The sequence below is a fragment of the Homo sapiens genome, chromosome 5, assembly GCF_000001405.40.
Source record: "Homo sapiens chromosome 5, GRCh38.p14 Primary Assembly".
NCBI lineage: Eukaryota > Metazoa > Chordata > Mammalia > Primates > Hominidae > Homo > Homo sapiens.
Window position 1 is genome coordinate 146,535,306 of NC_000005.10, and position 18,086 is coordinate 146,553,391.

Below are 18,086 nucleotides of genomic sequence, written 5' to 3' on the forward strand. Positions count from 1 at the left end.
TTTCTTCCACCTGGGAGCTTTGGAGCAAAATTATTTTAGGTGCCCTCCTCCTCCCAATAGTGCTTTGATTAAGGTTATACAGGCAAAAAGCTTCCAAGGTACATGATGAGAAAATTGAGTGAAGATGATGTTGACAAAGGTGTTTTTGAGTTAGGATTATTCTTTATCATTTATTTAGAGCCATGAGGGAAAAGGTAGAGAATAGTGACAAACCAGGCACTATAAAATTGGAGTTAAATCTGTGCTGATTATCTTATCAACATAAAGTTGAATTTTTTTTTTTTTTTTGAGACAGGCTCTTGCTCTGTTGCCCAAGCTGGAGTGCAGTGGTGCAATCATGGCTCACTGCAGCCTCGACTTCCTGGGCTCAAGTGAACCTCCCACTTCAGCCTTCTGAGTAGCTGGTAGTACAGGCATGCACCACCATGCCTGGCTAATTTTTTAATATTTTTGTAGAGACAGAGGTCTCCCTGTGTTGCCCAGGCTGGTTTCAAACACTTGGGCTCAAGCAATCATCATGCCTTGGCCTCCCAAAGTGTTGGGATTATAGAGATGAGCCACCATGCCCAACCTAAAGTCAAATTTCTAAGTGCTCTCTTAAAAAGAGCAAAAACACTTTCCTGTATATTCAGTGGTTGGTTTTGATAGTTACCTTCCAAGGATTGTGGGCCTGCAACTTTGAAACTACTAATATATAAGGAAAACATCATTTGTTAACATGTTTGTTGAAGGAAATTGCTAAATTTGTGATATTAATCACAGATCTTACGTATTAGCTGACTGATTCTTTCTGTAATAATCCAAATAATAAATTCAAAAACAAATTGGAACAAAACCCCAACTTCTCATGAATCTCATATGCACCTTCCTGCTCCTAGTGGTTTAGGTGAACACTGTCTTAGATTACTTTCTGTGATGGCGGAAGTGTCCTGTATTTCCACTGTCTGATTTGAAGTGTGGCTAGTGCAACTGAGGAACTGAATATTTAATTTTATTTAGTTTTGTTTTAAAGCTATTGGCTACCCTATCAAATAGTACAGGTACAGATTGCCTGGTTGTTAAGAAAGTATCTGAGGCTGGGCGTGGTGGCTCACACCTAATCCCAGCACTTTGGGAGGCCGAGGCAGGCAGATCACCTGAGGTCAGGAGTTCGAGACCAGCCTGGTCAGTGAAACCCCGTCTCTACTAAAAATACAAAAATTAGCCGGGTGTGGCCATGCCTGCCTGTAGTCCCAGCTACTTGGGAGGCTGAGGCATGAGAATCACTTGAACCTGGGAGGTGGAGGTTGCACTGAGCCAAGATGGTACCACTGCACTCCAGCCTGGGCAAAAGAGCAAGACTCCATCTCAAAAAAAAAAAAAAAAAAAAAAGTATCTGAAAGACTTTCCTTCTTTGGAATTTATGTTTGCAAGTCAAAATACAGGGGGGACTGTAACAGATTAGTTTCAAAACACCTTATTTTATCACAGGGTGTGTGTACATGCAGGCCCCACAGCCTGGAATATGATTTTTTCCCTTCTTCCTCAGAGTAACTTCTCCTTATCCTGCAGATCTTTGTTCAGGCATTGATTCCTCTGGAAAACTTTCCCTGATATTTCATGTAAGATCAAATCTCCTATTAACAACACCATGCCTATCTCCTTCACTAGAGCAAATTCATATGTTGGAGGGAATGACGCAATGGAGAAGGAAAGATGGATATGCTAGGGTCTTGGCCCCCCATGAGTGGCAGTGGAGTCGGGAAGTACAGAGCGCAGGGGATCCAGATGGCATGGGTGGGAAAAAGACTTCAATGGGGAGGGTAGTCCTCTCTTGTGATGAGAAAGCAGAGGCAGCAGAAGGTGCAGGTGCAGGGGAGGGTTTTGCATTTGGAGGTGGCGACTGTGGGAGTTGCTGTCTGGCTCCCGTTTTCTTGATTGAGTTGGGGAACAGGGGTGTGGGGGGATGGTGGCAGTGAGGCCCTCAATTAAAAAGGGGGTTGAGGGTGGAAGGTTTGAGGAATTGGGACAGATTAAGACCTGGTTGCTCTAAAACAGCAGAATGGCCTTTGAGAGTGGGGATGCTGATTTAAAATGACACCAGCCTGCCTGCTCATGTAGGGCATCTAGCAAGGTGTGGCTTTACAGGTGTGGGCTTAAAGCAAGGTGATAGTTGGGCTATTCAGGGTTGGGGTTTTGCCAAATCTGGGAACGAATGAGGACAGACATGTTAAGAGCAGGAAAGTTTCCTCCCCATTTTTGTCCCATCGTCGATACAGCCGAGGCTTCTTCCTGATCTGAAGTTGGTGAACTTGAGTTGAGCATGGAGTGAGAATTTTAGTGATGCACCCCACGTCCTTCTACCACTGCTCCATTCACTTCCCATGTCACTGTTATTTGAGGAAATACCCCGAGCAGCAGAATGTGAAGTGTGCTTTCTTCCTGGGCACGTGGCTGCCATAAGATGGAATTGTACCACATCCCTTGTGACACACAGGGCTACCGAGCATCCTGCTCACCTCTGTCACTTCTGTACCTCTCCCTCCCACCTTAGAAATACTGATCATGAAAGAGAGACTAGTTCTCTGATGGGAAGGTGATTGAACCTCACTCACCTTTGCCTTCTGGGGCCTCATGATTCGATGACTACAAAGCCCTGCACATAGCTTGGCTGAGGTTCATTTTTATCAGGAAGGAACCAAGTTTACTGTTTGTGGGATGGTTTTGGTGGTCAGTCCACAGGTGAAGCGTCTCTGATGGGAGTACCCAGCTGACAGGGTAAGAGTCCCCTGGGGAGGTGGTGGCTAAAATGACCTATCTGGCCATTTGTGTCTTCTACAAGGTGCAGTGAGGAGCAGTGCTGGAGTCCCTGAGGCCCTGAGCCCCTTCAGCGGCTGCTTTGCCAGCTGTCTCTTTAATTTAAATGGATATTTCCCTTTTATTTTAAAATCAATTTTAGTTGTGCAAATACATGAATGAATTCTTCTAAAAATTTAAACATGGAGATGGAGCTAAAGCTTGATTTTCCTTGGACTGCTCTCTATACTTGCAGTCCTCTCCTCTTGTTCCCAAAGGTAACAACTAATGTTAGTTTAGTGCACGTATGTGCAGACTGTTGGATTTGCCTACTGTATGATTTAGGATTACGTTCAGCTGCATATGATAGGAAAATCTCTAATAACACTAGCTGAAGTCAGAAGTTTTCTCAGATAAAGTCTGGAGACAGGCAGTCCAGGGCTGATACGGTGACTCCACGATATTACCAGCAATCTGGGCATCACTCTGCCTTTGTTCACTGTCTCCACCCTCAAGGTCACCTCCTGGTTCAAAATGGTGATGAAAGCTCCAGTCATTCTATCTGCAACCCAGGGCAGACATAGAAAGAAGGGAGGGAGCCTTATTTGCATTCACTTCTAACTACATCTCACTGACCAGAGTTCAGTCATACAGCCGCATGTGGCTGCAAGAGATGCTGTGAGCTGTTGTCTTTCAGCTGAATTCATTGCTACAACAAATAAAATTGTAATTCTATTATTAAATAGCAGAGAGAAGGCAACTAGCAATCTCTGCCATGCAAATGTGTGTATAAAAGTAATAGCATTAATTTTATACCACACATATAATTTGGTAGCTTGTTCTTTCCAGCACAATGTGTTTTAGAGGTCTCGGACTATTAATACACGTAGTTCTACATTTCATTCAGTGTTGCATAGTATTTCGATTATAAAAATATAATTTGTTTAGCTATTTCCTCATGAGCAATCATTTATTTCCAGCTTTTCCCTGTTAGAAAACAGTACTGTAATGAACACCCTTAAATATTATTTCTTGTGTACACATGGGTGTCATATTCCAGAACAGATATTAAGTGAAATTGGGCCAGGCACGGTGGCTCATGCCTGTAATCCCAGCACGTTGGGAGGCCAAGGCAGGCGGATCACGAGGTCAGGAGATTGAGACCATCCTGGCCAACATGGTGAAACTCCGTCTCTACTAAAAATACAAAAAATTAGCTGGGCATAGTGGCACATGCCTGTAGTCCCAGCTACTCAGGAGGCTGAGGCAGGAGAATCGTTTGAACCTGGAGGTGGAGGTCGCAGTGAGCTGAGATCATGCCACTGCACTCCAGCCTGGGTGACAGAGAGAGGCTCTGTGTCAGAAAAAAAAAAAAAAAAAAAAAGAAGTGAAATTGGTGGATTGAAGTTGATGCACGTTTAAAAGATGTATTAAAAATGCCTCTTGGCTGGGTGAGGTGGCTCACGCCTGTAATCCCAGCACTTTCGGAGGCTGAGGCGGGTAGATCACCTGAGGTCAGGAGTTCGAGACCAGCCTGACCAATATGGTGAAATCCCATCTCTACTAAAAATACAAAAATTAGTCGGGCATAGTGGCGTGCACCTGTAGTCCCAGCTACTTGGGAGGCTGAGACAGGAGAGTTGCTTGAACCCAGGTGGCGGAGGTTGCAGTGAGCCAAGATTGCACCACTGCACTCCAGCCTGGGTGACAGAGACTCCTTAAAAGAAAAAAAAAAAAAAGCCTCTCAACTGGCTATAGCGTTTTACACCCGCTCTCTCCCCATCAGTGTATGACAGGTCTGTCTTACTAACTTTGCCTGTACTTAATATTACATTACTATGAAGTTTTAAACACTTTATACTGGCTCCAAAGAAACGCCTGCTGAGACATAAGAGTTTGCCACCGGACCCATAAGTTCATTTTTAACGTAAAACTTCAAACATCCTGTCTATGAATTAACTTTATCATTAACTTTGCTTCTAATTTAAATGTAACAGTCTATTTTACAGTCACAGCTTGATTATCACTGGAACAGGATTTGTGTCCATCAGAGAGAACTGTGTGCTGCGGGCCTATGACTAAGCACTGATATTTACTGAGGGCTTACTGTAGGCCAACACCCTTACATGCTATGCTCTTTCCATTGTTATTATTGATCTCCTTAATAACTATGTGCTATTTTCCCCATTCCCAGAGACAGAAACTGACACATGAGAGAGGTTAAGTAAATTGTCCAGGTTGCACAGGCAGAAAATGGTAGAGCTGGGATTCAGACGCAGCTAACCAAGGTCTCTTTACCACTCTGAAATACTGTATCTGCCTATAGTATTTCAATGTGAGACACACAAACCATTACTGAGTCTCTCCACATGCAAAGAATGCTAATGACTAGCTGTGTGTATGCTGAGAATAGGGAGGGGGACAAAGGGACAAACAAAGGAGGTGAAGATCTTAGCGTGGCCCAGTGATTGCCTTCCAGGTCTAACTCCTCTCTGGTGAGAGAGTGTGCATGACTCGCTCTGTACTGGCTGTAACATCTTCTACCAATAATGACCTTCCATGTTGTAATGAAAACTATGTGTAATGGGAATTCCTGGGGTGAAAGGATCCTCTTGCATGGAATGAAGTAGGTTGGGTCAATTTATGGGGAAGCCACCATCTGCAAAAGCCTTCTAACTCAGCTCCCTCCTTTCACTTTTGTTCTACTTGACAGCCAGAGTGATCTTCAGAAACTAATGTCCCTAAGTTCTTATTTTTTTTTTTTTTTTAGATGGCCTCTCACTCTTGTTGCCCAGGCTGGAGTGCAATGATGCAATCTCAGCTCACTGCAACCTCCATCTCTTTGGGTTCAAGTGATTGTCCTGACTCAGCCTCTGAGTAGCTGGGATTACAGGCACCTGCCACCATGCCTGGCTAATTTTTGTATTTTTAGTAGAGACGGGGTTTTACCATGTTGACCAGGCTGGTCTCGAACTCCTGACCTCAGGTGATCCATTTGCCTTGGCCTCCCAAAGTGCTGGGATTACAGGCATGAGCCACTGAGCCTGGCTATGTCCCTAAGTTCTAATGACGCTCACCCTCTCGCTGGAATATGCTGGTACTTTTTCCCACTTTAGAGTCTTTGCATTTGCTCTTTCTCCAGAATGTTCTTCCTGGAGACTTCATGGCAGCCTTCCAGTCACATGCAGGTGCTGGCTTAACTTTTCCCTCAGAGTGGTGGTCCCTCAAATGTTCCTGTTATTGCAGCTAAAGTCACCCAGCCACTCTTCTGTTGTCCCCTTTTAGTCTCTTCACAGCACGCGCCTAAACGTTCTTGCTTGTTATGTCCATGTTTCACATGCCTGCTACACCAGGACACGAGCACATGGGCTCCTCTAGGCAGAGCCCTTGTCTTGTTCACGTTGGTGTTCCTGCCCAGGACAGAGCCTGGCATCAATGCGTGGGGCTCCGGCAGATAAAGGCTTAGTTTACTTGTAAGTTTGTTCCTTAAACTCTGATTGTCATTTACACTGTAAAGGAAAAGTAATAATATGTATTATAATAAAGAACTATTAAATGCTAAACATTGTGCTAGCTACTTGACCTATATGATCTTACACAAAGCTCACAATTCCCATTGTGCAGATGAAGAAACTGAGGTAATTAGTGTAGTCAGAACTTGAGCCTAGATTGTCCCTCTAAAGCTCTTGTCCTTCTCACTGCCCTAGAATTCAGTGTTGCTAGCAATTTTCTACTCCTGGGATGCGATAGAGTCGGGTTCTTTAAAGATCCACGGGCAAATAGTTCCCTACATAAAAAATATAGGGGTGGAGTGAGGTAGGGGGTGGTGTTATCAAGCCAAATGCCTTCAAGAAACCCTGGATGCAGTCTTACCCCACCATTGGTAAAATGAAATGACTCCCTTCTTCTTGGTGTTTGGGTTGTAGTTAATCTGATATTTATTTCAACCTTTTACAGGAATAAAAATAAGAAAGCAGTCACACATTTTGTTGGTATCTTTAGAGTGGGCGGCATGGCATCTGCCCTGCTTGGCTCCTGGCTTACCCTGTTTTGCCACTAAGTACATTTTCCTAGGCCGGCCCCTCTTGGCAGGAGATCACACATGTGTTATGTTGGTGTATTTAAAAAGTGGGTAATTCATTTGTTAAATGAATACGGCAATTATTAATTTCAATTTATCCTGTTTATTGGGAACAGCTGTTCATTAACATTTATTTAACTGCTAATTTTAGAGCCAAACTAATTACCTCAAATACACAGCGCAGTGGTGTCCTGTATAGAGGAGCGCTCGCTCTAACTGCCCTGTGTGCCAGAATAACTAGCTGGCCCTCGTGGGTGCCGTTCTGCAGGTGACCAGGTGGGGGCTCACCTCAACCGGAGATCGGACTGCAGGCTGCAAACAGGTCCGTGGGGCACAAATCTATCTACAAAGTATCTTAAGGCCAGAGTGGCAAATTGTCCCCAGGGGCCAGGAAAGTCGTAAAAATGAATGAAATGGGAAGGTGAAAGAACTTGCACCGCCTCACAGGTCTATCTTTGTTCTATTACTTTTGATCAGCATAAAGTTATAAGAATCTTTCTTTACAGCAAGAAAGACGATTTCAAGCATGATGATAAATATCATTGTCCCTAACCCTGAGTTTCCAGAAGACACTGTTGGATTCTTTAAAGATCCATGAGCAAATAGTTCTCTAAATAAAAAATATAGGCGTGGAGTAGGGTGGGGGGTGGTGTCATCAAGCCAAATGCTTCCAATAAACGCTTGGTACAACCTTATGGCACCCTTGGTAAAATGAAATGACTCCCTTCTTCTTGGTGTTTGGGTTGTAGTCAGTTAGCTGTTTATTTTTTACAGGAGTAGAAATCTACCTTTTACAGGAAAATAGGTGGGCACAGTAGCAAACTGGAGAGCACACAGTTGGAAGGGGGTCTGGGGGGTCAGTTGGGGTCAGGATGGGGGGTAAGGACATGAGGATTGGGAGCTGCCTCTTAGAGGAGTCAGTTGTTGTCAGCTGGGAAGCTGGGGCCCTTTAATTTTTCAAGGGAAACCAAATACATGGATTTTTATGTGGAATTTCCTAAATTTTAGATATTAGCTCAAATTTTATTTATTTATTTTTTTACATAGGGACTTGCTCTGTCACCCAGGTTGGAGTGTAGTGGCATGATCATGGCTTACCTTGACCTTCTGGGCTCATGGGATCCTCCTGCCTCAGCCTCCTGAGTAGCTGGGATTACAGTTGTGGACCACGACGCCTAATTTATTTATTTATTTATTTATTTTTTGTAAATACAGGATCTTGTTTTGTTGCCCAGGCTGGTCTCTAACTCCTGGGCTCAAGCAATCCTCTTGCCTCAGTCTCCCAAAGTGCCTGATAATGGGTATGAGCCACCACGCCTGGCTTAGCTCAAATTGTAAAAGTATACTGTGTAGAATAGCAAAATACACCTGTGGCTTGAGGCCTGCCCATTTGCAGCTGCTAAATTAAAAGTTTTCTCTGTGGGTAATACTCAGGTGGCTGGTGAATAGACATGTCTTCTGAGGCCAAATCTAATTTATTTGGCTTTCAATCATTGTTTTTTTTTTTTTTTTTTGGTCTAGACAACTGTCTCTCTTACTAAAAAAATTAATGTTAAGCAAAATTCTTAACATTTCCGTGCTTCATTTTCCTTATTTTTAAAATGAAAGAGTTGGATTTTGTTTGCTTACTATTAATCTACAACTTTAATAGGACTTAAAACTATACAAGAAACACAAAACTTACAGGGGACATTAAAGTGGTAAAGCAATTTTTATGTAGGAGCCGTTTTATTAAATACTTTGGATCTTTTATTTTTTTTCCTCTCTTAAGGGCAAATCCCTTCTTCTATAGACAAGACCATTGTCAAAATGCAGATCCCAGGTCCCCACAAGTCTGAGCCTGTATGGTTGGCATCTGGTGGTAGGCACCCCAGTGACCCTGATGCAGAGGGGCCTGGAGCACACTTTGAGGATTTGTGCTAGATTTTGCTTGTTGGCACTCAACATCTGTTTCCATCGCTCTCTGTGTCCCCAGACTCCTCCATCACAGGGACCAGAAGTCTGAAAACCTACACTCCCCTGACCCTTTGGCCACTAGGATTCTAGATGCAACTTAGATTCTGGCAAGTAGGAGCCCTTGAGATTTTGAAGGTAGAAGGAAGACAAAGGCCTTTTTTTTTTTTTTTTTTCCTGAGATTTTGTGCTGCTGATATGTGTGAGTGCTGGCAGCAGCTGGGCTCCAGGTTCATTCTGTGTTATTTAGCTTCATGGTGTGGGGAAGCTGTGGCTTCAGCAGTGGCAATAGCCACACAAGCCACAATGGCCTGGCCTCCTAGTGACAGTCACTGCTCCTGTCCTCTGGTTGGTGGCTGTGGTAGTTTATAATCTGGAGGTCAGACCCTGTTTCAGTCACCATAGGCAAAGTTCTGCTGTGGTAATAAATAACCTCCTAATTTTAGGTGGCTTATTTCTCATTTGTGCTGTGTGCCTACTGTGGATTGCCTTGGGGCTGTGATTTGTGTCTCCTCACTGTAGGATCTGGACTCATGGAGCAGCCATCAACTTGGTCTATCATGCTAGAGGGGTGCAGAGGCCTACAAAGACTGTGCTGACAACTAAATGGTGTGACCTAAAAGCAAAACATGTCATCTACTCTCAAAAATCAATGTTCCTGGCTGGGTGCGGTGGCTCACACTTGTAATCCCAGCACTGTGGGAGGCCGAGGTGGGTGGATGACTTGAGGTCAGGAATTTGAGACCAGCCTGGCCAACATGGCGAAACCCCATCTCTGCCAAAAAATACAAAAATTAGCCAGGTGTGGTGGTGCGCACCTGTAGTCTCAGCCACTCTGGAGGCTGAGGTGGGAGAGTCACTTGAACCCAGGAGGTGGAGGTTGCAGTGAGCTGAGATAGCGTCACTGCACTCCAGCCTGGATGATGGAGTGAGACCCTGTCTCCAAGATCAATGCTCCCAGCAGCACCCAGCACCCAGTACCACCCAGCACCCAGCACCCAGCACCATAGCATGAACTCAGGAGGGTACTATAAATGCCCATGAATTAGGACGATGGTTTGGAGATCTTATTGCTAGGAAAAGGAAGCCCTTGCAGTATTTTATGCATACAGAGGGAAATAAACATAAGAAATGTATAACCCTAAAAGGCAAGAAAAGTCACTTGTCCCATCCAACCACAAAGGGACTAGGAAGTGTTCTCAGAAGGTGGAGAGCTGGAAATACTTGGTGATGACTACTTATAACTCCCACGAAAGCGTAGAGGCAGCCTTTTAAATTCCATTCACTAACTCTTCCAGTGATTTCGCAAATACCTATCTCTGAATCAAACCCCATTCTTCTCAAGATATCTAGAGTGGTTTTGTTTCTTGCCTAAACTCTGACCAGTAAATAGACATTACCTTGTACCTACACTATATATGCTATCTTGAATTTGTGTTAGCTAACACACTGTTTTAGATTATGTTAGTTGTAGTATCTTTTAACACCTCGTTTATGCAAACAGGAATTAAATCAATGACTAAAGCTTGAAAAACCCTCATCCCCATGCATTAGCAGACTTCTGCATCCACTCAATTTGCTACCTGCTCTCTGCAATTATATAGTCTCTTCAATGAAAAGCTTATTTATATTTGTTCAAAGTAGCCTGGGTTTGTGGTTTTCTCTACCAAAGAGGGCTCAGTTGTGTGAATATTGATCTAGAAGCACCTTTTGGTGTTGATTCCCAGGTTAATAGGTCTTGCTGAATTTTACTAGCTTGTGCCTAAACACAGATCTTTACCAATAAATCAAATTAACCTCTTCCTTTTCTCTCAGAGCTCAGTTCTCCCTCCTCTACTGTTACTCTCAATGGTGCCACCATTTTGCTAGACAGGCTGCATATATCAGTTTATTGGGAATGGCTGCTAGGAGAACTGTGAGAAAGATTTCTGGGACCTGAGAAGAGGAATGTGGAGATCAGTCATTGTTTTCCATGAGTACAGTTGGATGGAAGTTGGCCAACTTCATCAAGTCTTCAGCTACAACCAAACTGGATTCCTTGCTGTTCTTAAAGACATCTTTCTCCTTTATCTGACTTTATTCCCTTCATTACATCTACCTGGGCTATATTTCTTCACTTTCTCACCAATCCAATTTCTACTCCCCCTTAAGACCCATTGAAAACTTTCTTGATTTATCATGGATCTTAGCCATTTTTGTTCCCCACACAATGTTGAGTTCATAGTTGCTACATAAATATTTGTTTAATGAATAAAAAAAAATGACTTCTTTTGTTGCCTTAAACAGCCTAGATATTTTTTCTTAACTATTTGTGGATTGTTTTGTCTTTAAAGTTAGATTGGCCACCATTGAGGGGAGTGATGAACCAGACCTTAAATTCATTTGTATAATCTTCATTGTCTTGCCTATAGAGACTTAAACAATAATACCATTTCCATTTGAGAATTTTTGCCCTGAAGGTTGTTGGCACACCAGGGGTGGCTCTAGAAATATATATACTTATCAGACTATTACTGATGATAATGTTCAGAGACTGAATTTCCTAGGAAGGAGGGAGGGTAAGGAGAGTTGGATCACAGCCTGATAAAATATCCTTTTCTCCACCTAACCCTATCCACTCTTCACCTAGATACCAGTTCTCATTCTTCAGTCCCCAGCCTGTTTGTCATACCTACTTAGAGAAGTAGCTCTAGCTCCCCTCTAATAGCAATGATAACTTTTACTACTTTGAATTTCTTTGGACTATCCTTTTCTCTTTCTAGCCTGGAAACTCCCTGAGGTACCTGGCTGCCTTTGTTCTTTTTTGCATCCCCAGAACTCACTGCAGTTCCTGGCATATAGCAGACATTGAATAGTTATTGTTTGGATGACGGAATGACTATCTAGTACGTTAACTCTGAACTAAATTAATTTTTTTTGAGTTGGGAGTGGTAGCCCATGATTGTAATCCCAGCACTTTGGGAGGCAGAGGTGGGAGGATCACTTGAGCCCAAAAGTTTGAGACCAGCCTGGGCACCATAGTGAGACCCATCTCTACAAATAACTTAAAAATTAGCCAGGCATGGTGATGTGCACCTGTGGTCCCAGCTACTTGGGAGGCTGAAGCAGGAAGATTGCCTGAGCCTGGGAGGTCAAGGCTGCAGTGAGCTGTGATCACATCACTGCACTCCAGCTTGGGTGACAGGGTGAAACCACGTTTCAAAATTTTTTTTTTTTTTAAAGAGACAAGGTCTTGCTATGTTGCGCAGGATGAGCTCAAACTCTTGGGCTCAACTGATCCTCCTGCCTTAGCCTCTTGAGTAGCTGTGATTATAGGCATGCACCACTGTGCCCAGCCTTAAATGAATTTTGATTAATTCCCATAATTTAGCATTATTACTATTACAACTTGGATTACAACTTGAATATATTAGGACAGATCAAATATTTAGCAAGATGGGGAGTGTGGAATAGGATATCTCTAAATAATTATATGTTCTACATTATAGTAACCTTTAACTTGATACTAAATTTTTCTTAATTTCACTAAATTTTACCCAATACTAAATATGACTTTATTTTCAGGGGTTGGGGGAAGACTGAAGGCCCTTCTGAGCCTTCCAAGAGCTCAGGTTCATCATTTACACACCATCCTATACTTTGACTATGAGGAAGGACCATGCAACACAAAGACAGTTTAGGACTGCCAGAGGCAACTCCCATCACACGTTTTAAAGAGAACATTCACTAGCCAGGAGAATTGCTTGAACCCAAGAGGCAGAGGTTGCAGTGAGGCAAGACTGTGCCACTGCCCTCCAGCCTGGACGATAGAGAGAGACCCTGTCTCAAAAAAAAAAAAAAAAAAAAAAAGAACAATTCTCTTCCTCTGTGATAACAATGACTTTAGGACTACAGTTTTCCAAGGTACTATATTTCACTTTTAATTTTAGCTATAAGCCATTGACTAATATGACTTGAACCTATGATGAGATTTCTACTCTTTAAAAAAAATCCCCCTTGTACACAGCAGAGAGATGCAAAGAATTAATTGACATGTCAGGCTTCATTTTCTGCATAGTTACACTGAGCTAATATTTAGACTTCAGCTATATTTTTGATGCAAACAATGTGCAGCCATACCCGTGTCCTTTTTAAATTACAAGGTTTGAGCCTGCACATTAGCCTCGGGAGGACCTTGGATCCGTCTTTCTTACACATGGGACTTGAGGCAAGTCATTAAAACAGAAGAACCCTCATGTGCAGAGCTGAGGAGCCTGCTCGTGGTGCAGTAGAATCTGGAAAATGAGAGGGAGGAGCTGGCATAAGAACACCAGTTTTGCTCTAGAGCAGGGATTCCCCCTTCTCTGCCCCAGTATCCAGGCTGACACTGGTATTAAGGGTAGTTCATGAGTTGGCCTTGATATTCTTGGGTGTCATTCTTCAGAGACATTGGGGCTATATGTTGAATGTCTACAGTTCTACCCTCTCCCACGACCCCTCATCATGAATTCAGCTAAAATGAGTCTATTTTTATCATCTGCCTGTATCATCCCTGGTGGCCAGAATGATAGTTGTTAAAAATAATGCTAATTATAGCAATAATAATAGCTGTCATTTGTTGGCCATCTGCTATGTTCTAGTAAGTTGCCAGGGGCTTTCCGTGCATTATCTCATTTATCCTTCACCACAATCCTGTTGTCATAGACATTTTTCATTGTGGGGAGAGTTGCCTTTGTGTGCATCTTTATGAGCATCTCCCTTTGAAAAGGAATCTAGACCTCCAGGGGTACCCTGCCTTTCCTCTCCTACCTCTAGCAGACAGGTTAGCCTCCCAGACACCTGTGCTGGATTTTTGAGCAGGAGCCAAGACACAAAGGGCAGAGGCAAGGGGTGGTAGAGTCCATCTGTGCTGCTGGCAGCAGTATCTGGACAAATATTCTTAATGCCCAGCCTTCAAGGCACTCGTGGCTCCTGCTGGCTTTCCATGCATGTACATCTGTGGTTCTGTAGATTCTAGTAAGTTCCTTTTTTTTTTTTTAACTTGAATGCTGTTGCTTGCAACCAAGTATGTTATCACATGTGTGAATCAGGTACTATCATTATCTCTGTTTTACAAGAGAGAAGACTGAAACTCAGATATATTAAGTAACTTGACCAAGGTCACATATGAGTATGTTGCAGGGCTAGGACTCAACCCACAGATGTCAGATACCAGAATCTGATTCTTCCACTGGCCTCTGCCAAGTTAGTCGACTCTTAGCTCTGTGTGCCTGGTCCATCAGACATGGTTATAGCATCTGAGAAGGACAAGAGGATAGCCTAGTCTTCAGAAAAGACACATGACTAGTTTTTGTTTTCTTCATTTAACAAGATAAGAGCTGCCTTGATTTTTCTTTACCCAGGTGGATCTATTAGATTTCCTTTCTTGAAACACTTTTCCCTCCTTTTAATGAACCAAAGGATTGCAAACCCATGAGTGATTGTTTTAAATTTTATTTTTACAGCCCAGCAAGCTAAGAACCATGAGTGATTTTTAATTAAACACCATTTTTTTGTTTCTTGAAATCTAAAGCTCCAATTAAAAATAAGAAACCATAACTGCATTAAACTTCATCACTTGAGCCCCAAGTCAGCAAGCAGCCATAAAACAGTGACATGCTGGAGATGAGTTGCATGCATTTATCAGTAAATGGGGCTATGTATGCTAATGGGCTTCAGCTTGGGAACTCCAGGCCTGGCTGCATCAGACTGGTTAAAAGCTCAATTCATTAATAGGAGCCCATGAAGGACTGACTTGTAGTGTCTAATGCCTGCTCCAGGTCCCACAAAAGCAGTTGAGTGTGTGCCTTTGCCTTTGGAAGGAATTTTGCAGAATTGTGGTTGTGAGGGGCTGGGGTTGAGTGGAGACTTCTGAGAAAACAGGATCACACTGACCCAACCAAGGCATGGGAGCAAAAGACTAGCACATATCAAATTCCTGGGTTGTGTCAATTACTGTACTAGGAACTTTATATTTGTTAGTCATTTAATTCTCAAGGAAATTTTTTGATATAGGCAGATATAGCCTATTTCTTTCTTTTCCTTTTTTTTTTTTTTTTTTCGAGACAGAGTTTCGCTCTTGTAGCCAGGCTGGAGGGCAATGGCGCGATCTTGGCTCACTGCAACCTCCGCCTCCCAGGTTCAAGCAATTCTCCTGCCTCAGTCTCCCAAGTAGCTAGGATTACAGGTGACTGCCACCATGCCCGGCTAATTTTTTTTTTTTTTGTATTTTTAGTAGAGATGGGGTTTCGCCATGTTGGCCAGACTGGTCTTGAACTGCTGACCTCAGGTGATCCACCCCCCTCAGCCTCCCAAAGTGCTGGGATTACAGGCATGAGCCACTGCGCCCATTCCAACCGCATTTCTTATAGGTAAGGAAATTGGGATTCAGAAGGGTCAGTTGCTGAAGATTACAGAGGGAGGAATAACTAGGGCATAAACCCAATTTTGACCCCAGAGCTATCTCCCATGACCTTGGCAGTTTGCATTATCTCACTGGACCTATTTTGGGGTAGAGAATCTTTAATAGTCAAAAGATTCATTAGCATGGGCTTTGAAGTTAGACAGACAGACCTTGTATCAAATCTCTTCTGCCTGTATGTCATCTGACAACCTCTTTGAGCGTCAGTTTCTGTTCATTACAGGGGATTTTAGCAAGTTTTCATAAGACACAAGCTTGCAACGATATATGGCACAGTCTGGGACACATGTTGACAATCATTGGTTGTTGATGCTCAATGATTGTTGATATTGCTGTTTTTTCTTACTCATCTTGCCTTTTAGGGTTTCTAAAGTACTGCAGGATTTCTCTTCCTAGCTCAAAGTTCTCCAGGCTGTCATCCTCTTTCGTGGGCATTTATAGTATCCTCCTGTGTTCATGCTGTGGGGCTGGGTACAGCCAGAAATGCAGTGGGAAGAGGACTGCATCGGTCAGGACTCTGTTTTTTCTTTCAATTGCACGTGATAGAAAATGTAATTCAGACAAATTTAAGCAAAAATGATCCTGAGTTTAGGCTAGAGAATATGTAATAAAAAGTTCAAGAGCAGATTTGGCTTCAGACTCTGCATGATCCAGGCTCAAACAGTGTAGTCAGCACCTGACTTCTCTTTCTCCTCTGGCTGCTTTTGCTCTGTGTAACTTCAGTTCTTCAATGAGCTCTCACTCAGGGCAGCAAGACGACAGTAGTTCCCATTCTACCTGCTCAGCTTCATGTCCTGAGAAAATGTGAGCGAACTCTCAAAGGTCCTAGGATTTGCTCTGGGATGGCCGAATCAAATGTCCCCGCCTCCATTGCCAAGCCCAGGAGAACTGGTGCATCCACTGGCCTTACAGAGGTGGGCTCTACCCAAAGAACTGGATAGAGAGGGAGGGAGGGGCTTTTCCTGAAAGGAATCATGGTGGGTCTTCTCAAGGTGATAGATGCTGGGCAGCAAATGTAACAAAATGTTGACTACAGGAGCATGGTCTCTGTCCTTTGGATACTTGCAGTCTAGAGCAGGGGCTGGTGGACTCTTTCTATAAAAGGCCAGATGGTAAATGTTTCAGGCTTTGTGGGTCATGTGGTCTCTGTCAACTACATCATTGCAGTGCAAAACAGCCGTAGACAATTTGTAGACTAATGAGCAGGACTGTGTTCCAATGAAACTTTATTTATGGACACTGATATGAATTTCGTATCATTTTCATGGGTCATGAAACATTCTTCTTTTCATTTTCTTTAACTAGTGAAAAACATAATAGCCATTCTTAGTTTGCAGGCTATACAAAAACAGGCAGCAGGCTGGATTTGGCCAATGCCTGGTCTAAAGGTAAAAACAAACACTTTTCTTCCCAGTCCCATTTCCTCCCATCACCACATCTATTTATCTCATGTATTACTTGTGAAAGGGGGAAATAGCACGGTCTGTTGGAGCATTTGGTGAGGATCAATTGCTCAAGATTTGGTGGATAGTGAAACATACTGGGTTCCAAGTGACTGAGCAGTTTTGTATACATCCAGTTTTGTGGCCATCCCAGATTATTGTATTGGACACATTTATGAATTCCTTTGCTTTGTAAGTCCTGAGAGACTTGTTAGTCAATCAGCAAGGTTTTTTTTTTTTTTTTTTTTTTTGCCTGCCAGTGGGTCTTCTGTATAGACAGAGAAGGCAGAAAGAAGGTGAAAACTTTTTGATCTACTCATAGTCTAACTTTGAAATGTAACCAAAGTAAAATTCTTATTCTGAAAAGGGGCATGGGTACATGACAGTAAAAAATTCCTGAGCTCTATCTTTTTCACGTATTTGAGCGTGGTGAAGGCCAAATAAAATAGGGTTGAAATTCAATGAGATTAGCATTTAAGGCTGTGCCCTAGAGATGCTTTGCAATGAAGTTTTTCCTTCCATAGTAAAATTTGAAAAATCAAGATAATGTATTATGTATAATTTATTGTTTTAATTTATTGCTTTAAAGATTTTTTTTTTAATCCTGAGATTATGTCTTTCCTACCTTATTATTTTTCTTTTCTAAAATTATAATAAAGGTAGGGGGTCTTTTTTTAAAGGCAAAAATAAAAATAATTCCCAACCTTGGGAATTCCATGAAATTTCTATGTAAATTCCATGAAATTCAAAGGTCTAAAATAGAAGAGCAAGGTCAACATTTTTAGGTCATATATCTTTGTATATAAAATTTTTGAGCAGGAATCCCTAGCTTATATATATTTATTTATAAGTTGTTTATTACTAACCTCATATGGATCAGATATTAGTAAAGCATAATACTTATTTTTTAATTAAAATAATAAATACTTCCACATTCCAATGGACAATTTGCATTTTAGAGGCCATTGGTTTGATTTAGACAACAAGAACTTATAATTTAATAAGGAACCTCTGAGCTTTGAAGAGTCTGAGAAAACATCTCTCCAGGGCCACCTATCCTGGCATCTTTGATGGGCTTCAGATCATTTATGACCCTCTGGGATCCTATGCAAAATGATTTATGTATATTCATTTTTCTGGAGTTGAGTCCACTGCTTAAATAGGTTCTCAAAGAGTAAGATCTGCCGACTAAAAGACAAATTCACAGATCTAGTGCAGCTGCTTTATAAAGACAGAAAAGAAGGTAAATTGCCAGGATCAAGGCAGTAAAGTCAGAACTGAAGTGGAATTTGCATTTGATGGAGTTCCTGTTTCATTGCTTTTAGAATCGCTTAGATCTCTCAGTTTCTATCCCATTCTTTGGGTATTAGAGATTCACAAACAACTACATAACACA

General features: G+C 42.4%; 1 annotated feature.

Moving 5' to 3' along the window:
* Positions 5,326–5,826: an enhancer, noted in NCBI's record as "H3K27ac hESC enhancer chr5:145920194-145920694 (GRCh37/hg19 assembly coordinates)". NCBI's record gives its function as "activates a minimal SCP1, AML or CMV promoter by ChIP-STARR-seq in primed H9 embryonic stem cells {active_cell/tissue: H9 hESC(primed)}" and the evidence as "EXISTENCE:reporter gene assay evidence [ECO:0000049][PMID:30033119]".